At 35.3% G+C, this 23,643-nt stretch overlaps 1 protein-coding gene across 21 annotated transcripts in view; it reads left to right on the plus strand.

Moving 5' to 3' along the window:
- DNAH14 (dynein axonemal heavy chain 14) overlaps positions 1-23,643 on the plus strand; it is a 469,633-nt gene that overhangs the window by 97,811 nt on the left and 348,179 nt on the right. For 18 of the 21 annotated variants that reach the window (XM_011544062.3, XM_011544067.3, XM_017000296.2 and 15 more), the window contains 5 exons: positions 11,230-11,359; positions 15,371-15,650; positions 16,280-16,325; positions 16,422-16,519; positions 22,746-22,912. The exons of 1 other annotated variant lie outside the window; for it this stretch is intronic. In XM_011544062.3, the coding sequence (XP_011542364.1) occupies positions 11,230-11,359; positions 15,371-15,650; positions 16,280-16,325; positions 16,422-16,519; positions 22,746-22,912 (721 nt within the window). Of the gene's footprint in view, positions 1-11,229; positions 11,360-12,722; positions 15,651-16,279; positions 16,326-16,421; positions 16,520-22,745; positions 22,913-23,643 lie in introns of those variants that run through there. 2 more of the 21 variants (XM_011544070.3, XM_011544073.3) reach the window with 2 other exon arrangements.

The following is a 23,643-nucleotide window of genomic DNA, read 5'->3' on the forward strand; positions in this document are numbered from 1 at the left end:
ACCTGAGACTAGGTAATTTATAATGAGAAGAGGTCTGATTGGCTCATGGTTCCACAGTCTATACAGGAAGCATGTCTGGGAGGCCTCAGGAAACTTACAATAATGGCAGAAGGTGAAGAGGGAAGCAGGCATGTTTTACATGGCTGGATCAGGAGGAAGAGATGTAGGGGGAGGTGCTATACACTCTTTAAAACAACCAGGTCTCATGAGAACTTACTATCATGAAAACAGCACAGAGGAAATCTTTCCCCTTAATCCAGTCACCTTCCACCAGACCCCTCCTTCAACACTGGGAATTACAATTCGGCATGAGATTTGGTTGAAGACACAAATCCAAACCATATCACCATCTATCTTTCTTGAATGTTTTTGTCATGAAATAGTGTTGGATTTTGTCAAATGCTTTTTTTTTTCTGTCTGTTGAGATGACCGTATGTCTTTTACTTTATTAATGTAGCATATTACATTACATACATACATTTTCATAAATGGAACCAATCTTGCATTCTTGGGATAAATCCCACTTAATTTTAGTTTATTATCCTTTGTATATGCTGCTGGATTCAGTCTGGTATTATTTTGTTGAAAATGTTCACATCTATATTCGTAAAGGACATTGGTCTGTAGTTTTCTTGTGATGTGTTTGTCTGGTTTTGGATTCAGGATAAGACTCACCTCATAGAATGAATTGGGTAGCATTATTACCACCTATCTTCTGAAAATTTTATGAAGGATCGGTGTTAATTCTTCCTGAAATGTTTAAAAGATTCATCTGTGAAGTCTGGGCCTCAGCTTTTGTGTGTGTGTGGGATGTATTAAAATTACTAATTAAATCTCTTTACTTGTTATAGATTTGTTTAGATTTTCTATTTATTCTTGATACAGTTTTGGTAATTTATGTCTTTCTAGGATTTTGTCCATTTTATCTAACTTATTTAAACTGTTGGTATACAGTTGTTTATAGTATTCACTTATAATTGTTTTGATTTCTGTAAGGTCAATAATGATATCTTCTCTATCATTACAGATTTTAGTAATTTGAGGCTTTTCTCTTATTTTCTTAGTCTAGTTAAACATTTGTTAATTTTGTTGATCTTTTTAAAAACCAGCTTTTGGTTTTATTGATTTTCTTGTCAATTAAAAAAAATCCCAAACAAGTTAATTTTAAAATGGGTGAAAGATCTAAGCAGACATTTCATCAAAGAAGAAACAGATTGCAAATAAATGTTTTAAAGATGCTATAAATCATTAGACATTAAAGAAATACAAATTAAAATCACAATGAGACACTTTTACATACCTACTAGAATGGCTAAAACAATACCAACAATACAAAGTGCTCATGAGGATGAGGAGCAACTGGAACTCTAGTACATGGCTGGTGGGAATGCAAAAGGATACAGATGCTCTGGATAACAATTGGGCAATTTCTTATAAAGATAAACATAAACTTACCCTATAATGTAGCAAGCCTCCTCCTAGCCATTTACCGCAAAAAGCAGAAAACATTTTTCTATGGAGAAAAACCATATGTAAATATTTATAATGGCTTTATTCATAATTGTTCAAATCTGGAAATAATTTAAATATCTATAAGTGGATAGCCATGAAATGCAGTACTTCTCAGCAATAAAAATGAGTGAAATATTATACTTACTTATGCAACACGAATAAATCTCAAATGTTAAGTGAAGGAAGCCAGACTCAAAACACTATATATTATATGATTCCATTTATATGACATTTTGGCAAACCAAAACTGGAAGGGCAGAAATCAAGTCAGTGATTGCCATGGGCTAGGTGGGGGTGAGAGGAACCTTCTATAAAGGGGCCTGATACAATGTTTTAGATGACAGAAATGTACTACATTTAGTCATTGTGATTGTAGTGGTTGTTAACTGTGTGTGATTGTCAAAATTCATTAGAACTGCATACCTGAGAAGCATGAATTTTACTGGATATAAATTATACCTCAATAAACCTGACATTAAAAATAAAGTATTATTTATTTAGCACATGTAACTTGTCAGATACTTTGTTAGATCCTGGACATACAATGCTGAGCAAAATAGACAGTTTTTGCTCTAATGTAGTTTACAGTCTAGAGGAAGGGAGAGATATTAATCTACTGACCACACAAATATATTTAACATTACAATAAATGCTACAAAGAAGAAGTTTGGGGTATTGTGAGACTGAATCTGGTCTGGGAGAAGTTTCGTTGATAGGAGTTAATGAGGAAATCAAGAAGAAAGGGTGGTCAAGTCATCCCTAAAAAGTGTATCATATACCCTACAGAACAAGAAGCATATTTGAAAAAGTGAGAAGAAGACAGTGTGACAACAGTAAAGTGATAAGAAAATAGCATAAGACATAATGTGATTGGTCAAACCTATAAATAATAAATGTCTTTTCTACCATCCTAAAAGTTTCTGAAAAATTTTGTTATAAAATCAACTAATCCTAAATCATCATTGCAACCCATGGATACCAAGTGGAGAGTGTTTCAAAAAGTAAAAGTCTTCATATGTTAGGTGATAAAACAGATCTCAATAAACTTAAAATGATTAAAATACAAAGTATGTTCTCCAACCAACATAAATTAGAATTAGAAATCAATAACAGAAGAAAGTTTGGGAAAGGTCACAAATATATGGAAATTAAATAACATACTCCTAAATAACCAATGAGTCAAAGCAGAAATCACAAGGGAAATTAGAATAAAATACAGTTTTATAAATGAATGAAAATGAAAACACAACATAACAAAACTTACTATAGGCAGCAAAGGCAGTGCTTAGAGGGAATTTATACATGTAAAAACTACATGATATCTGTGTTCTACAAATATTTTATCCCAGTCCATAAATTGTCTTAATTTTCTTAAGTGGCTTTTGATAAACAAGAGTTTTTAATTTTTATGAAGTTCAATTTATCTGTTTTTTCTTTTAAAGGTTTGGGCTTTTGGTTTCCGATCTAAAGCATTGTTTCCTAATGCAACAGCATGATGAATTTTTCCAATATTTTCTTTTAGAAGTTTTATACTTCTGGATATTATATCTGTTATCCTTTTTGAGTTAATTTTTGCAAATGGTGTCAGGTGTGGTTTGAGGTATATATTGTTATATGTTGGTATTTAATCACTCCAGTAGTTTGTTGAAAAGACTAATCTTCCTCCAGACAATTACCCTAACATCTGGTAGAAAATTGATTAATTAAATATATTCATGAGTCTATTTCTGAATGCTTTTTTCTAGTCCAGTGATCTGTGAATCTGTCCTTCCACCAATATCTCACAGTCTGCATAACTATAATTTTATAATAAGTCTTGAAATCAGGTAGTATGTATTCTTCAGCTTTGTTCTTCTTTTTCAAAATTGTTTTAACTATTTTAATTCATTTACTTTTTCATATATATCTTATAATTAACTAGCAGATTTATTCAAAAGGCCTACTGAGATTTTGATTGAGATTGCATTGAATATATAGATCAATCTGGGGAGAATTGACATCTTAACAATATTCAGTCTTTTAAAGCCCTGAACATGGTAGACTTTTTCCTTTGTTTAGATCTTCTTTGATTTATCTCTTCAGTGTTTTGTAGAACTCAGTGTGCAAATATTGCACATTTTTGTTTTAAACTACCTATTTCATATTTTGATGGTATTAAAAATGGTACCATATTTTAAATACAGTTTCTAATTATTCATTGCTGGTAAAAGAAATGCGGTTGATTTTGCATATTGACCTTGTATCTGTAACCTTACTAAGCTCACTTATCATTTGTAATAACTTTTCTTTGGTAGACAATTTAAGAATTTCTACTTAGACCAAGTGTCAACAAAATATAGCCCATAGGCCAAATCCTGTGGCAGCCAGTTTTTATAAATTAGTTTTGTTGGACTATAGCCACGCCCATTTGTTTACCCATTGTCTGTGGCAACTTTTGCACTACAAAGGCAAAATTCAGTTGTTGTGACCGACCACCACATATGGTCCACAAAACGTAAAATATTTCCTGTCTGGCCCCTTACAGAAAAGGTTTTGCTGACCCATGCTCTAGAGTAACCACTAAAAGATAGTGATAGGATGTCTAAAAAGCTAAAAGAAGGAAAAATATTAAAAGAATAAAAAAATCGATTAATCTAAAACCAGCTATTCTTACAGGCTAATACAAATTATTTTTGTTACTTTTATCACTTCCATGGTACTGCTAAAACTTTAGCTTCTTCAACTCCATTTATTTTCCTCTTGCCTTTTACAGCATTCTTTTACTGTATTTTAAATACATTTTTAGTTGTTCATGTATTTTAACTCCAGAAGACATTAAAAGTATTGTTTTGAATGGTCAATATCCATTTATGTTTATCCATATAATTACCATTCCTTGTGTTGTTTCCTTTTGCTTGTTTCTGTTTGTGTGGGGTCATTTTCCTTCTTCCTGAAAAACAATCTAGTATTTCTTTCAGTTGCAGTAATGCTGGGAAAGAGTTCCCTCGGTTTTTAATTGTTGAAAAGGAACTTTATGTCACCATGATTTATAAAGGATATTTTCACTGGGTGTAGAGTTCTAGATAATGTGAGACTCTTTGGAAAGACTTCTCAGTTTAATTTTTTTTTAATTTTTATTTTAGGTTTGGGGGTACATGTGAAGGTTTTTACATAAATAAACATGGGTCATGGGGGTTTGTTGTACATATTATTACATTACCCAAGTATTAAGCTCAATACCCAATAATGATCTTTTCTGCCCCTCTCCCTCCTTCTACCTTCCTGGCTCAAGTAGACCCCAGTGTCTGTTGTTTCCTTATTTGTGTTCATAAGTTCTTATCATTTAGCTCCCACTTATAAGTGAGAACATACAGTATTTGGTTTTGTGTTCTTGCATTAGTTTGCTAAGGATGATCACCTCTAGCTCCATCCATGTTCCTGTAAAACACGTGATCTCATTCTTTTATATGGCTGCATCGTATTCCATGGTGTATATGTACCACATTTTCTTTATCCAGTCTGTCATTGATGGGCATATAGGTTGATTCCATATCTTTGCTATTGTGAACAGTGCTGCAGTGAACATTGGTGTTCATGTGTCTTTACGGTAGAATGCTTTATATCCCTTTGGGTATGTACTCAATAACGGGACTGCTGGGTCGAATGGTAGTTCTCCTTTTAGCTCTTTGAGTAATCGCCATACTGTTTTCCACAATGGTTGAACTAATTTACACTCCCACCAGCAGTGTATAAGGGTTCCCTTTTCTCCGCAACCTCACCAGCATCCGTTATTTTTTAACTTTTTAATAATAACCATTCTGACTGGAGTGAGATGGTATCTTATTGTGGTTTTGATTTGCATTTTTCTAATGATCAGTGATATTGAGCTCTTTTTCGTATGCTTATTGGCTGCTGTATGTCTTCTTTTGAGAAGTGTTTGTTCATGTCCTTTGCCCACTTTTTAGTGGGGTTGTGTTTTTCTTGTAAATTTGTTTAAGTTCCTTATATATGCTGGATATTAGACCTTTGTCAGATACAAAGTTTGCAAATATTTTCCCCCATTATGTAGGTTGTCTGTTTACTCTGTTGATAGTTTCTTTTCCTGTGCAGAAGCTCTTAAGTTTAATTAGATCCTGTTTGTCAATTTTTGCTTTTGTTGCAATGGCTTTTTGTGTCTTCATCATTAAATCTTTGCCCATTCCTGTGTCCAGAATGGTACTGCCTAGGTTGTCTTCCAGGGTTTTTATAGTTTTGGGTTTTGCATTTAAGTCTTTAATCCATCTTGAATTGATGTTTATATATGGTGTAAGGAAGGAGTCCAGCTTCAATCTTCTGCATATGGCTAGCTAGTTATCTCAGCACCATTTATTGAATGGGGAGTGTTTCCCTCATTGCTTGTTTTTGTTAGCTTTGTCAAAGATCAGATGGTCATAGATATGGGGCCTCATTTCTGGGCTCTCTATTCTGTTCCATTGGTCTATGTGCCTGTTTTTGCACCAGTACCATTCTCTTTTGGTCACTGTAGCCTTGTAGTGTAGTTTGAAGTTGGGTGATGCGGTTCTTCCAGCTTTATTCTTTTTGCTTCAGATTGCCTTGGCTATTTGGGCTCTTTTTTGGATCCACATAAATTTTAAAATAATTTTTTCTAGTTCTGTGAAGAATGTCATTGATAGTTTGATAGGAATAGCATTGAATCTGTAAATTGCTTTGATCAGTATAGCCATTTTAATGATATTGATTCTATGAACATGGGATGTTTTTCTATTTCTCTGTGTCTTCTCTGATTTTTTGAGCAGTGTTTTGTAATTCTCTTTGTAGAGATCTTTCACCTCCCTGGTTAGCTGTATTTCTAAGTATTTTATTCTTTTTATGGCAATTGTGAATGGGAATTCATTCACAATTTGGCTCTTGGCTTGATTGTTGTTAGTATATAGGAATGCTAGTGATTTCTGTACATTGATTTTGTATCCTGCAACTTTGCTAAAGCTGTTTATCAGCTGAAGGAGCAGCTTTGGGGCTGAAACTATAGGTAAAGAATCATGTTGTATGCAAACAGAGATAGTTTGACTTCTCTCTTCCTATTTGGATGCACTTTATTTCTTTCTCTTGCCTGATTGCTCTGGCCAGAACTTCCAGTACTATGTTGAATAGGAGTGGTGAGAGAGGACATCCTTGTCTTTTGCTGTTTTTCAAGGGGGATGCTTCTAGCTTTTGCCCATTCAGTATAATGTTAGCTGTGGGTTTGTCATAGATGACTCATTATTTTGAGGTATGTTCCTTCAACACCTGGTTTATTGAGAGTTTTTAACATGAAGGATATTGAAATTTATTGAAAGCCTTTTTTGCATCTGTTGAGATAATCATACAGTTTTTGTCTTTAGTTCTGTTTATGTGATGAATCACATTTATTGATTTGTGTATGTTGAGCCAACCTTGGATCCTGGGGATGAAGCCTACTTGATCATAGTGGATTATTTTTTGATGTGCTGCTGTATTCAGTTTGCAGGTATTTTGTTGAGGATTTTTGCATCAATATTCATCAAGGATATTGGCTTGAATTTGTGTGTGTGTGTGTGTGTGTGTGTGTGTGTGTGTCTGCCAGGTTTTGGTATCAAGATGATGCTGGCCTCATAGAATGATTTTGGGAGAGAAATTCTTCCTCCTCAATTGTTTTAGCATAGTTTCTGTAGGAATGGTACTAGCTCTTCTTGGTACATCTGCTAGAACTTGACTGTGATTTCATCAGGTCCTGAGCTTTTTTCTTGGTAGGCTGTTATTACTGATTCAATTTTAGAGCTCATTATTGGGCTGTTCAGGGAATCAATTTCTTCCTGGCTCAGTCTTGTGAGGGCGTATGTGTCTAAGAATTTATCCATCTCTTCTAGATTTTCTAGTTTGTGTGCACGGAGGTGTTTGTAGTAGTTTCTGATGGTTGTTTTTATTTCTATGGGGTCAGTAGTAACATTCCCTTCATTGTTTCTAATTGTGCTTATTTGGATCATCTCTCTTTTCTTCTTGATTAGTGTAGCTAGTAGCCTCTCTATTTTATTAATTTTTTCAAAAACAACAGCTCCTGGATTCTTTGATCTTTAAAATGTTTTTTTTGTGTGTGTGCATGTGTCTCAATTTCCTTCTGTTGGGCTCTGATTTTGGTTATTTCTTGTCTTCTGCTAGCTTAGTGGCAGGTAGGTTGTATGTGTCTAGCAATTGATCACTTTTTTCTAGGGTTTCCAATTTGTGGCATATAGTTGCTCATAATAGCCTCTACTGATCCTTTGAATTTCTGCAGTATCGGTTGTAATGTCTCCTTTTTAATCTCTGATTTTATTTATTTGGGTGTTTGCTCTCTCTGTTTTTTTAGTTAATGTGGCTAAAGGTTTATCAGTTTCCTTTATCTTCAAAAACCAACCCTTTGTTTCACTGATCTTTTCTGTAGTTTCCTTGCTCTGATCTTTATTGTTTCTTTTCTTCTACTAACTTTGGATTTGGTTTCCTCTTGCTTTTCTCATTCTTTAAGATGTATCATTAGGTTGTTTATTTGAAGTTTTTTTTTGTTTTTTTTTGAGGTAGAAACTTACACCTATATACTTCCCTGTTAGTACTGCTTTTGCAGTATCCCATAGGTTTGGGTATGTTATGTTGGTTGATTTCCATGTGTTTGTATAGTTCCCAGAATTCCTTCTGTGATTGATTTGTAGGGTTTTTGTTTTGTTTTGTTTTGTTTTGTTTGTGGTCAGAGAAGATGCTTGATATTATTTTGATGTTATTGAATGTTTTAAGACTTTTTTTGATCTGACATATGGTCTATCTTTGAGAATTATCTGTGTGCTTAGAAGAATGTGTATTATCTAGTCATTGGATGAAATGTTCTGTAAATATCTATTAGGCCCATTTGGTTTTTTCTGCATATTAAGTCTGAGGTTTGTTTGTTGATTTTCAGTCTGGATGATCTGTCCAAGGGTGAAAGTGTGGTGTTGAAGTCTCTAGCTATTATTGTATTGGGGTTTATCTTTCCCTTTAGATCTAATAATTGTAAGAATTAAAGAAAGAGGAAAGAAACATGAAAGGCGGCTCGCCAGTCAAGACAGGTTTATTTTAAAGAAAAGAAACCTGAGAGGAGCCTTCTGTCTGAGTTAGGTCAGAGACCCACTCTCTTACAGACTAAGAGGTTTTTTTTCTTTTGTTTTGTTTTGTTTTTGAGATAGAGTCCCACACTCTCACCTGGGATGGAGTGCAATGGCGAGATCTTGGCTCACTGCAACCTCCGCCTCCCAGGTTCACGCAATTCTCCTGCCTCAGCCTCCCAAATAGCTGGGATTACAGGCACACACCACCACACCAGGCTAATTTTTTGTATTTTTAGTAGGCATGGGGTTTCACTATGTTGGCCAGACTGGTCTCGAACTCCTGACCTCGTGATCCACCCACCTAAGCCTCCCAAAGTGCTGGGATTACAGGCCTAAGCCACCACGCCCTGCCCAGACTAAGAGTTTTTAAGGATTCAGGGTGGGAGAGTTTATTAGAGGTTTGGACTGCTTCTGTGTCTCTTTGTTGTGCTTATCTGGGAGGGAGAGTTGCGTGTCTGTTCCCATACATCTTTCTGCAGCTGCAGGCATACCCTCCAAGTCTGCTTTTAGGTTCCCTATCTTAGTGCACCTGAAGGGAAAGGAATATGCTTATTAAGGCCTACTGTTTTACTGGGGTCCATTGTATGAGGGTGAAGTTTGGCAGTTACCCAAGAGACTTTCCCTTCACTTCCCTCTGTGCCTGAGCTGTCTTGTCTGTGTTTTACTGTCTGCTCTTTCTGGCTGCTTGTAATTAGAAGAGAATGATTTCCTTGAAATGCATAAGGCTAGAAAGGGAGCTGGAACTTAAAGTGGCAGTGTTTGTCCAAGATGACAGTGCTCCTGCTCTGTCAATAATACTTGCTTTTTATATCTGTGTGCTCCAGTGTTGGGTACATGTATATTTACAAGTGTTCTATCCTCTTGCTGAATTGACCACTTTATCATTATATAATGACCCTCTTTGTCTCTTTTTATACTTTTTGTTGTATAATCTATGTTGTCTGATGAAAGTATAACTACTCCTCTTTTATGGTTTCCATTTGCATGGAATATCTTTTTTTGTAGCTTTATTTTCAGTCTGTGTTTGTCAAGGTGAAGAGTGTTTCTTGTAGGCAACAGTAGGTTGATTCTTGGTTTTTCATTCATTCTGCCACTCTATATCTTTTGATTAGAGAATTTGGTCCATTTACATCCATTCTTATTATTAAATAAGGACTTACTCCTGCCATTTTGTTATTTGTTTATTTTTGGTTCTTTTGTGGTGGCCCCTTCCTTCTTTTCTTCCTTCCTGTCTTCCTTTTAGTGAAGGTGATTTTCTCTGGTGATATGTTTTAATTTCTTGCTTCTTATTTTTTGTGTATCTGTTGTATGTTTATAGATTTTAGGTTACTATGAGTCTTGTAAATAATATAACCCATTATTTTAACCTCAGGACAACTTAATGTTGATTGTATAAACAAACATACAAACAAACAAGATAAGGAGAGTTATAAAATCTCTATACGTAATCTCCTTGCTTCTTAACTTTTATTGTTTCTTTTTATATCTTATTTGTACAATCTGTGTCTTGAAAAATTGTAGTTCTTTTTGATCAGTTCTTCATCTTTCTGCTTAAAATATGAATAGTTTACACATCACCGTTACAGTGTTATAATATTCTGTGTTTGTTTGTTTTCTGAGACGGAGTTTCACTCTTATTGCCCAGGCTGGAGTGCAATGGTGCAATCTTGGCTCACCACAATCTCCGCCTCCTGGGTTCAAGCAATTCTCCTGCCTCAGCCTCCCGAGTAGCTGAGATTACAGGCGTGTGCCACCATGCCTGGCTGATTCTGTATTTTTAGTAGAGACAGGGTTTCTCCATGTTGGTCAGGCTGGTCTCCCAACTCCTGACCTCAGGTGATCTGATCTGCCCGCCTCGGCCTCCCAAAGTGCTGGGATTACAGGCATGAGCCACCATGCCCGGCCAATATTCTGTGTTTTTATGTGTACTTACTGTTACCAGTGAGTTTTGTGCCTTCAGATGATTTCTTAGTGCTCTTCAGTGTTCTTTTTCTTTCAGATTGAAGCACTTCCTTTAGCATTTCTTGTAGGATAGATCTGGTATTGATGATAAGTGTCTGGCAAAACCCTCAGGTTTTGTTTGTCTGGGAAGGTTTTTATTTTTCCTTTGTGTTTGAAAGACATTTTTGCCAGATGTACCATTCTAGGGTTGAACGGTTTTGTTTTTCTTCTGTACTTTATTTATTTATTTATGTATTTGAGACAGGGTGTCACTCTGTCTTGATCTTTGGGAGTTTGATTATTAAGTGCTTTGGGGTAGTCTTCTTTAGGTTAAATCTGCTTGGTGGTCTGTACTCTCCTTGTACTTCCAACCCTAGCCAACATTTATTATTTATTATTTTCTGTTTTTTTTAATAGCCATCCTAATGGGTATGAGGTGATATAGTATCTCAGTGTGTTATGGATTACATTTCCCTAATGATTAGTGATATTAAGCATCTTTTCTTGTGCTTATTGTCCATTTGTGTATCTTCTTTGCAGAAAGGTCTAGTCAGGTCCTTTGCCTGTTTTTTAATTGGGTTGCTTTTTGTTGTTGAGTTGTAGGTGTTCTTTATATATGTAGATATAAATGATTTTTAAATGATTTTTTTCTTCCCATTTCTTAATCCAGAACATTCAAGGACAACTCTTTTCCTACTGGAAAGACAACAAATGATTGTGAAGAACTTGTTGATAATTCAAAGTTACATGCTATTTCTGTTCAAAAGTCAGAAGTAAAAACAGACACTGATATTAATGAGGTAAAATGATCTTTGAAAAATATAAACATAGATTTTTTGCTATAAAATGAATACATTTTAAAATTTAAAATGTGATTTATGATTAATACCCACAAGCCCTTACCCAACATACCCTCGCCAACACACACACACACTTAGCTGCTCCCACTGTAAAAAGCCATATTGACACTTATCTCATTTAGTTCATTTGTTCATTCATTCACCACATGGTTTATTGAGTACTTACTATGTTCCAGGCACTGAACTAGGTAGGCACTGAAATAACAGCAGTGGGCATACCAAATTCTCTGACCTCTTGGAGCTTATATTTTACCAGAGGAGACAGATAAATGAAGTGATGAGTACTGTGAAGAAAAATAATGGAAAAAAAGGGAATGCAGGAGTGATGTTGTATGCTATTTTACATAGGAATGGTAAGGGAAGGCCACCCTATGTAAAGTAGCATCTACCCCCTCCTCCCACTGCTACACTACTCTGTCTTTGCTTTTGTTCAAAGCATTTTTGTTGTGTTCTTAACTTAAAAATGGGAGAAGCAAAATAGGAAACCTTGAAGGAATCCTAGATAAACTTATTTTTTTTTAGAATTGCCCCTAATATCTTCTAAAATTTATTACAGAATGTAAAATGCTTATTACCCATCAAATGTATCTGTTATGTTTTGATTTATTTTTAAACAACCATATAAAGAACTTTGGAAGAGATCAGCTGGAAATATATCTCATTTATTTTATGAATAAATATGAAAATTCTCTTTAGTATGAAAAAAAAAAAGAAATCTTTTCTTGCCAGAATTGTTTTTCTCTCCGTTGGTATTATTTTCTTGAGATTTAAACTTTATATGTTAAGTGCTTATCCTATTTGGTAAAAGTAGCCTTGTACCCCGTCTCTACTAAAAATACAAAAAATTAGCCGGGCGTAGTGGCGGGCGCCTGTAGTCCCAGCTACTTGGGAGGCTGAGGCAGGAGAATGGCATGAACCCGGGAGGCGGAGCTTGCAGTGAGCCGAGATCCCGCCACTGCACTCCAGCCTGGGCGACAGAGCGAGACTCCGTCTCAAAAAAAAAAAAAAAAAAAAAAAAGTAGCCTTGTGTAATATGGCCTTTATAGTTATCTTTTCTTTTTTTTTTTTTCTTGAGGTGGAGTGTTGCTCTGTCTCCCAGGCTGGAGTGCTGTGGTGTGATCTCGACTCACTGCAAGCTCCGCCTCCTGGGTTCACGCCATTCTCCTGCCTCAGCCTCCCGAGTAGCTGGGACTACAGGTGCCCACCACCATGCCCAGCTAATATTTTTTGTATTTTTAGTAGAGACGGGGTTTCACCGTGTTAGCCAGGATGGTCTTGATCTCCTGACCTCGTGATCTGCCCGCCTCGGCCTCCCGAAGTGTTGGGATTACAGGCATGAGCCACTGCGCCCGGCCATATCTTTTCTTTTTAAAGTATTTAGGTAGATTTGATGACAAGGAAAAATATTCACATGTATTAGTGAAAACAAACATATACAACATACACACTATGTAGTTTGAAGTTTGAAAATATATGCATCGAAATATTAACAATGGTTATCTGTGGGTGGTAGGAATCTTGAGTAATTTTACTTTCGTATATGTATATTTCTAGATAGTCTAAATTTTGTACAATGCATATGTATTTTTTTAATGTTTTTTATTAAGTATACGATACCTGCAAAAATAAGCAAACACTCATGTAGGCTTCACCCAACTTAAAAGTATTCAATGTCTCCTATTCATCCTTTATTGATGAAACAGTTCACTTACCATTCCACTGTTGATAGACATCTGGGTTATTTTCAGTTTTTGTTTTTGCTATTACCTATAATTCTGCCTTGCACATTCCTGTATATTTCTCCTTTGGTGTATATGAACAAGAGTTACTATTTCTTTATTTACTGCTAAGGAGTGAAATTTCTGGGTGAAAGCATATGTTATTTTCAACTGTATTGAGTAATATAAAATTGTTTTTCTAAAATGCTTGTACCAATTTCAATGACCTTTAGCAATTCATAAATTTTTATTGCTCCATAAGCTTACTAATCCTCATCAATATTTAATGTCAATCAGATAGGTGTGAAATGGCATTTTGCCAAAGTTTTAATTTGAATTTCCCTTATTACTAGTTTGAGCATTTTTTCATGTAACTTGCATTAGGGTTCTCCTGAGGGACAGAACCAATAAGATTCACGCATCTATTTCATATATGTATATATACATGTGTGGGTTCAATGCAGGCTGACAGAGTGGAGATTTGGACACAGGCTGCATGAACGAGCAGACTGCCACTAAGGTGGCCTAAATTTATGTCCACTTTTGTCCCATAGCCCAAGTTTGGGCATCTTGCCCCTGCTTTGCCCTCTAGTATCTGACCTTGGTTTGCTCCTCTTTTTTACTGTACAGAGCTCAAAATGTTGAAAATATAGATCTGAATCTCAAGCGAGAGATAAGAGCTAAAGTTGTGGATCTGGTAATCATTGGTGCTGCCTCCTCCTTCCCTTCCTAATCCCCATTGTAATCTGTAAAATTTACAGTTCCATTTAGCTGTGGCTATTCCTCTCTTGTAGTTTACAATCTAGAGGAAATAAAACTATTTACTGGTTCATTCTTGTTGTCACAAAAAGTGTAACAGCTAAGAGATTTCTTCACTACAAAAATATTTTCAGGCCCCAGTTAGTTCATATTATAACGATGTGCACAGACCCATGAGTGAACTTCAGCCTTACCACATGCTAGCAATATAGCCTTTGACAAATTAAGCTTTCAGATTTTTTTTGTATGTGCAATGAGAGTAATAATTTCTGTCTCTTGGGGTTTTTATGAGGATTAGGTGAAGGTAGTAACTTGTTTACTATAGTGATACTCATTCACTGTAACCATAATTACATTTAAAGAATGATTTAATGCAAAATATTTAAATGCAGTAATATTAGAAGGTATATATAGCTTGAGGTCCAGTATTCCCAGAGTTAGTTAGAGGTTATTTTCGAGAATAAGCTAAGCAGCACATTATATATTTATTAAGAATTGTCTGGGTGGACTTTCTTTTATTGTGATAAAACATACATAACATAAAATTTTCCATTTAACCGTTTTTAGGTGTACAGTTTGGTGGTATTAGGTACATTCAGTGTTAGGCAACCATCACCACTTTCCATTTCTACAGCTTTTCCATCATCCTGAACAAACACTATACCCATTTGTGTGAACATTTAAGATTTGCAAGTCACCTTCAATATCTACTCATGCTCTTTCACCGGCAGCTTAATAAGGTGCTATGAGGTTTATTTATAACGTTAACTGCCTTAATTTGTTAATGTCTGGAATTAGAGGTTAAGGTTCCAGCAGATTATTCAAGTGATCACCCTGAGAAACACAGAGGAGTCATTATGCAGTAGGTAACTTAAGCATAACGGATTATTTATGATGTAGGAAGGAACAGTAGATTAATTGAGAACCCAAGCCCAGACAGAGCCTAAGAACAATTATTTACATAAATGAGATATTTATCCCCTAGTGTTTTTCACTGGAGATGTCCATGTTAGTATATGTATATTAAAGTGAAGAGCTAGGACTTACTCTAGTGGGTTTAAAGTATGTTTTCTAGATTTGTAGTTCTTAAACCCAGGTGCACAATAGAGTCACCTGTTGAGCTTGTAGATGATTAAGAGTCCTGGGCCCTGCCTCTGACTTTTTAACTCAATATCTCTGGGGATAGGACCTAAGAATTTGTATTTTAAATAGGCACTCAGTGACTAGGACTAATGATATACTGACTCTGGCATCAATTTACAGTCTTTGGGGGGAACTCCTTCATTACAATGTCATTTGTTTCACATGCAATTTACTTATTTTAACATGCAAGTGTCAGGTATTTGGTAATACAGTGTTACTCGGTTATACTGGAGTTATGATTTCTCATTTAAAATTTTGGTCTGTATTCTAAATTAAATGTTCTGTAAGTTATATGTTGTCACTGGCACCCTCACATTATCCGTTAAATTAGATTTTGAATAGTGTTGAAGTGGGGAAGGATTTGAGAAAAACATATGCACCAATATTTGAAGTAAATCTATGCTTGAGAATTCCTGCTGAGAGTGATTCTTCAGAAAATTCTAAAGAGAACTTTCATGAGTCTGACCAGTGCCCTGAAGAGTGTGTGATGTTTGAAGATGAAATGTCAGAAAATAAAGACAATTGTGTCAAAAAACACTCAAGTGAAGAATTGCTCCCAAAAGCCAAGAAATCAAAAGAAATTAGTTACAATCTTGAAGATATTATTTCAGGTAAGACAATTGAGACTATAAAGAATGAGGGGTTGCCAGGTGTGGTGGCTCATGCCTGCAATCCTGGCACTCTGGGAGGCTGAGGTGGGAGGATCACTTGATGCCAGAAGTTTGAGACCAGCCTGGGCAACACAGTGAGACCTTGTCTCTTGTCTCTTGGGGAAAAAAAAAAAAAAAAAAAAAGAATGGAGGGAAATATCTTAACAACTGGAAAATAACAAATGAGAGATCATTTTAATAGTCTGTTGTGTCTTCTAATTTATAGATTATGATTTTATAAATCTTAAGGTAAATACTGCTAAAAGTAAGGATAAACTTACAGATCATTGTTGTGCATGTCAGTAATGACACCATTATTCATTTTCATCTCAAAACCCAAACAGTTTCTCACTGAAGCAGAGCCGAGGGCCCCGTTCATCAAGAGGAACAACATCTAGGATGTTTGTCCTCAGATCTCTTTAATCAGAACCTTGGAATGGGGTGTACTGCTTCAGTATTGTGTTTCAAGTGACTTCTTGAGTTTATTCTTAGGATATGTGTAAAGCACTGGCATATATTAATTTGTCATTTACCTGATATAAATATCAATCAATTTTGTATTTTCTCTTTCTTTCAATGGATTCTAATAGACACAGAAATTGAGACTGAGTTTGAGAATAAATACATGTATTATGAGTAAGTATTAGACATTTTAAAAATTACGAGTAATTGTATTTTATATGGTAGTTATTATATTCCTCTGAAATATGCTTTTATTGTTTTCTCTGTTAGATTTCCAGAATTTCCTACAAATCTCTTTATAGATCCCAACAGATTGGAGTTTTCAGTAAAAATTCAAAATATGTTGACTAATATGGAAAAATGTATAAGTAAGTGTTTTTAAAGCTTAGTGAAATGCATTGTCTTCTTTGGCAATATTTTTTTAAATTTAAGCATCTGATGCCTTTACCCAGGGATGTGGCAGATGTTACAGAATATTAGTATATCATAAATGCACAGTCCTTGGGATCAAACACTGAATTTGGAATTATTTGAGGATGTGTGAATTTTACACATGGCCTTAGAGTGCATAAAAGATGAGAATTAGGAAAATATTCAAGGTTTGGATTTTTTCAGTTACATTCTATAGAATGTTATGACACTTAATACAAATGAGCAAGATCTTTTATGTCATAGTATAACAAAGATATTGTTTCTACCTTAAAGAGACTTTAATTATTTTGCAGCTGTATGTACACAATCTGAAATTGCAGGCAATTACTAGCCTGACCAAAGAATTTATTCTTTTCTCACAATAAGTTTTACAAAGATCTTAAAACAGCAGGAGTTTTGGCAACTTCTTAAAAGTTGCATCATTCTCCAGTCATGTCACCATAGTTTGCTGAGTTCAGAGGGCCCCTATTTCCAAGCTAAGCTGGTGTCTAATGCATTGTTTGATTTTGTTTATGCAAGTCCCAGTAATTCAGTCTTTTTCACTATGCTTTGTAACTACCACCACATATTAAGTTACTCCATTCCCCCAAACTGGCTGAAAGGTAGTCAGTATGTCCCTTGACATCTCATATTTATTTTAAAGTTTGCATTGTATTATGAAGATGAAATGTGCATAAGAACATGGGTTTGTTTTAAAACCAAGAATTATCACAAAGTTGTTATAATTTTTTACCCAGTCCATTTTGAATCAGTTTGGTAAGGGTTTCTTGCTGAGTAAAATCCAGAGATATTAGTATCTTGCAACATTATACACTTACAGACATTCTAAACAACTGTGCTCTCTTGTTGGGATGACCCCTCCCATACTCATTTTATTCAGTGCCCATAGATTTGTTCTACTGCCTTCTAGCTTTTAATAATGTAAATAAGAAGTCTGATGCTACTCTGATTCTCCTTCCTTTGTATACTTGTGATTTCTGTCTAGTAATTTATCATTTGGAGTTACGAACTTTTCTATAATAAAGCCATATATATAATTCTATGTTGATCTTTCTTAAAATCCAGTGAGGCTCTTCAGTCTGAAGAACTAAGTTCTTACCAATCTTTCCATATGTTCCTTTTTTTCCCTTTGGATTTTTTGTTTTTCATCTTAGATTTCCTGGGTCTAAACATCTGATTATTTCTATTTCTTTTTTCTTTATTATGAAATGTTTCTACTGTTTTTTTTTTAAGTTTCTATAATGAGATAATTTGAGACTTCTATAAGTTGGAAGCGTAGTACAGAGTTTCTGTATACTCTTTATATGCTTTAATCTAGTTATGAAAATGAAGAAATTAATATTAGTATAATAGTATTAATGAAATGATAGATTTTATTTGGATTTTCCCAGTTGTTTCCCTAATGTTCATTTTCTGTGCCAGGATCTAATCCCGGATCACACATTGCATATATTAATAGTTGTTATGTCTGCTAAGTCTTTTCCAGTGTGTACCAGTTGCTCAGTCTTTCCTTGTCTTTTATGACCTTGAGATACTGGTAATTTACTCTACAGATTGTCCATCAGTTTTGGATTGTCTGATGTTGTCTCATGATGAGTTTGAGGATATACATCTTGAGGGAGAATACCATACTGGGTGTGTGCCCTTTTCAGTACATCAGCCTAGTAGTACATGACATTGATATACCTTTTCACTGGTGCTGCTCACCATGACCACTTAGTTAAAGTCATGTCTGCCAGGTTTCTCCATGATGAAGTTACCATATTTCCTCCTGTAACTAATAAACTTGGGGTGGGAGGAGAGATTTTGAGATTATACAGATATCTTGTTTCTCCTGAAAATTTTGCCCACTAATTCTAACATTTATCAGTGGATCTTACCTTGCCTGCAAGTTATTACTGTGGTGTTCTTAATGGTGATTTTCTATTTCTTTCATCCCATATACATTCATGAATTAGAATTCTTCTGTAAGGAGTAGCTGTTCCTTTTCCATTTATTTAATTTTTCAGTCATTTATTTATATGAATATGGATTCACTAATATTTGCATATATATGATAATATGTATATATGTATATAAATATACATAGGTATGTATATATGTGTGTATATATATTTACCTTAGAAATAGTCATTTAAATCACCCCATTTCAACTACCCATATATAACAATTATTTTCTTTTGCAATTTACATTCATATTCATACATTAGTCAAATGTATATTTTAAATGTTATATGATCACTTAGCATTATATCATAGACATTACAAAGGTATTTAGAACCTCTTCTAAAAGGCTTCAGGATATGGTATCATAAGAGAGGACTTCCCAATGATCATATTATAAAAACATTCTCTCACTTATTTTCTAATTCTATTATGATTTCATTTTTATATTTAAATATTTGTTCACTCTGAGATTTATCTGGCGTATGTTGTGAAGTAGGACTTCACTTTTAATTTTTCTCAGATGACTAATGATCTGTCTGTCCTAGCATCATGAATTGAATAATCCATTCCTTATCCCCACTGATTTGAAATGCCACATTTATCATTTTTTATTTTCCAGAATGTTTTCCATTGTATTTCTGGGCTATGCAGATGATATGTCTGTAACTTATGTACCAGTATTATACTGTGTTAGTTATTAGGTAGCTTTGTACTATTTTTAGCATCTGTTAGCCGTCTCCTTTTTCTCTCTTTTTTCCTTGGAAATTTCCTGGGTTCATTGATATTTATTTTGGTCTTTAGACTATAATACAGTATTACTGTTATTTATTTTGTTGCTCAAGTTGTTCTGGCTTAATTTTGGAAGAGTAATTCTCCCCAGTTGGCTCCTGTGCCCTTCAATATACCTCCATCCTTGTCTTGTGACTACTTCCTTAGTTTCCGTCACCTCAAGATACTTCAGGCTCATCTTGTATTTTCTCTGCCCCAGCCCTGAAATTAACTGTTTCTCCAAGGAACCCTGGATTAGAGAAGGAAATTTAGGAACTAAGATCTATGCACTAGATGTGCTCATTGCTACAGGAGTGTCACTACTTCCTGGCCTACCAGAGAAAATATCTAGAAAATATATGTATGTATGCTAGCTCATGCATACACACACAACTATATTTATTCCTAGATCTTTTTGTTTGTCCATTTTAAACTGAATTCATACTGATACCTCAGACCCCAATCCAATACCTCAGGGTTCATTCTAGCCTTTTCTTTTCCTTATATCTAACTTTTTTCTCTGGCTATGAGAAATCTGGCTGACATAATCAACAACATAGTTACTTGTTTGTTATACAGTCATGCACTGCATAAAGATGGTTCAATCAATGACAGACCACATGGTAGTCCCATAAGATTATAATACCATACTTTTGCTGTATCTTTTCTATGTTTCAATATATAATCCTTACCACTATTTTACAATTGCCTACAATATTCAGTATAGTAATATGCAGTAAAAGTTTGTAGCTAGGGCAACAGGGTATACCATATAGCCTAGGTGTGTAGTAGGCTATACTATCTAGCTTTGTGTAAGTACAATCTATGATAGTCACACAATGATGAAATTGCCTAAGGACACACTTCTCAGAATATATCCCTGTCATTAATTGCATTACTGTACATGTAATTTCAGAATTGCTACTCCTTGCTTCTGCGAAAAACAAATGTATCAACTAAAATACAGTGTTTGTGTTTATGTACAGTTTTTTAAAAATGTAACCTTAACAGTTTCCAGTCCAAACTTGTTTTCTAAAGTTGCTTAAGTCAACCCTTTTCTTTCCCACCCTCTTCAATGAGGTTATGTAGTTTGTAATAGTTAGATTAATTTGTCACAATCTGCATTCCAACTTGGATTCTTTCAGTAACCTGGTTGATGTTTTAAAACTTATATAAAGTACAATTTTCTCTTTGTGGGTGGTGTTAAGGGTTTTGACAAGTGCACAGGTACATATCCACCATCACAGTTCCATACAAAACAGTTCCATCATCCCCCAGTTCCCTTGTGCAGCCCTTTTGTAGTCACACTCTCTCCATTCCCTTATCTGTGGCAACCACTCATCTGTTTTCTGTCCCTATTGTTATGGCATTTCCATAATGTCATATAAATGCATATGTAGCTTTTTGGATCTGGCTTCTTTCACTTAGAAAAATGCATTTCAAATTCAGCTATGTTGGCCATGTACAGAGGTTCATGCCTGTAATCCCAGCACTTTGGGAGGCCCAGGTGGGTGGATCACATGAGCTCAGGAGTTCAAGACCAGCCTAGGCAAGATGGTGAAACCCTGTCTCTACAAAATATACAAAAAATTAGCCAGGCATTGTGGCACGCACCTGTAATCCCAGCTACTTGGGAGGCTGAGGCAGGAGGACGGCCTGAGCCCAGGAGGTCAAGGCGCAGTGAGCCAAAATTGTACCACTGTACTCCAGCCTGAGTGACAGTGCAAGACCCTGTCTCAAAAAATAAAAAATAAAAAATAATTATCCATGTTGTTACATGATTCAATAGTCTTTTTTTAAATTGCTATGCTGTATTCAACTGTTTGGATGTATCGCAGATTGCTTATCCATTCACATCTGGGTTGTCTCCAGTTTGGGGAAATTATATATAAAATTGCTATACACATTCACATATAGGCTTTTGGATTAATCCAAATTTTCCTTTTTCTTGGACAAATATCTAGGGGTAGGATTGATGGGGCATATGGTAGTAATATATTTAACATTATGAGAATGGCCAGACTGTTTTGCAAAGTGGTTGTATCATTTTGCATTCTTACCAGCAATCTATGAATTCCAGTTGCTCCATATCTTTGCCAGCACTTGGTATTGCCAGATTAAAAACAAAAACAAAAAGCTTTTAGCCTTCTAATAGGTGTGTAGTGATATCTTATTGTGGTAATTTTCATTTCACTAGTAACAAATGATATTGTTCATCTTTTATTATGCTAGTTTTCCATCTGCATATCTTATTTTGCCAAATGTCTTTTTAGATCTCTTGCCTATTTTTTTTTTTTTTTTTTTTTTTTTTTTTTGAGATGGAGTCTTGCTCTATCACCCAGGCTGGAGTGCAGTGGCACTATCTCGGCTCACTGCAACCTCCACCTCCCAGGTTCAAGCAATTCTCTGCTTCAACCTCCTGAGTAGCTGGGATTACAGGTGGCCCACCACCACGCCCAGCTAATTTTTTTTGTATTTTTAGTAGAGACGGGGTTTCACCATCTTGGCCATGTTGGTCTTGAACTCCTGACCTGGTGATCCACCCACCTCGGCCTCCCAAAGTGCTGGGATTACATGCAGGGGCCACCACACCCAGCACCTATTTTTTTTTAATTGGGGTTTTTGTTTTCTTATTGTTGGTTTGTGAGAGGTCTTTATGCATACTCTGAATACAATTCTTTTATCATACATATGACTTGCAAACAATCTTTGTGAGATTTTCTCCCAATCTGTGCCTTATCTTTTCATTGTCTTTCACAGCGCTAAACTACTTACTTTTGATAAAGTACAGCTCATCAGTTTTTTTCTTTTATGGGTTATACCTTTGGTTTTGTTTCTAAGAGCTTTTTGCCTAACTCAAGATCACACAGATTTTCTCTCCTATATTTTCTCCTTGAAGATTTATGGATTTGTGTTTTATATTTAGGTATATGATGCATCTTGAGTTGAATTTTTTAATAAAGCGTAAAGTCTAGGTTGAGGTTTGTTTATCTATCTGTCTATCTATCTACCTATCTATCTATCTATCTATCTATCTATCTATCTATCAATCATCTATCTATGCCTGTGGACATCCAGTTGTTCAGCTAGACTGTGAACTCTTGAGGCTGTGTCTCCTGATTTTTATATCCTTGTAATGGTATAATGCTCTCCACATAACAGATACGTGTCAAATATTTGTAAACTGAATGACTTATTTTCAGTTTATGTTTCAATCATGCCTCCCATCACCTCCACTCAATTACCTGTGAGTAGCTCTTTGTTTCTATAGTATTAAATCTAAATCCTTACACCTATTTTTAAATTCCAGTTATAAATATAGAATATTGTCTAACCCTCATAATAAATCAGCCCCCATTTTCAATAGTTCTAGATGTCATGGATAATTTTGAAGTGTTGCTTTCAATGGCATTTCTGAAGTACTGACTTTTAAATTATATATTTTAGCCACAATTACTCCTCTTTGCCAAGATCCCCAGCTGTCTATCTTCATTGATTTGGTTTCAATAATGGATTTACCTAATAAGACAGGAAGCATAATACATTATAAAGAGCAGACCAGATGGCCAGATTGTCACATCCTTTTTGAAACAGATCCTGCCTACCAAAATATAGTAAGTTTTAAAACAGTTCATTTTAGGAAATGTTTAAGGAGCAGAAACCCACTGAATTCTTAAATGAAATGAATTTATTGAAAAATTAGGGTATCCTATTCATAGCAATTGAAAAATCATTTCCAGCTTATCTCCCCATTTGTTTTTCCCATGATCTGTCATCGCTGCTCACCTCTGTGTGATTTTTCCAACTTCTGTGAAAATAAGTTTTCTCTTTTATGGCTACCTCATAACGTAGGCTCGTCAGTTGTTGACTTGCCATACCTCAACTCTTTCCATTAGCATCAACTGGGTATTTTTGTCCAAATTTACAAGAGAATCTAATTGGCTTAGATTGATTTAGGATTCTACCCTATCTAAATAGTTACGTCTTTGGTGAATTGGGTGAGGTCACATACTATATACCAGTGGCCCTTAACCCTTTTGGCACCAGGGACTGGTTTTGTGGAATACAGTTTGTCCATGGACAGCAGCTGAGGGGTGGTTTCTAGATGAAACTGTTCCACCTCAGTTCATCAGGCATTAGTTAGATTGTGATAAGGGATGCACAACCTAGATCCCTCACATGTGCAGTTCACAATAGGGTTCAAGCTCCTATGAGAATCTAATGCCACTTCTGATCTTGCAGGAGTGGAGCTGAGGCAGTAATGCTTGCTCACCCACCACTCACCGCCTGCTGTGTGGCATAGTTCCTAACAGGCCGTGGACTGGCACTGCTCTCTGGCCTGGGG

Source organism: Homo sapiens, chromosome 1, assembly GCF_000001405.40.
Source record: "Homo sapiens chromosome 1, GRCh38.p14 Primary Assembly".
Classification (NCBI taxonomy): Eukaryota; Metazoa; Chordata; class Mammalia; order Primates; family Hominidae; genus Homo; species Homo sapiens.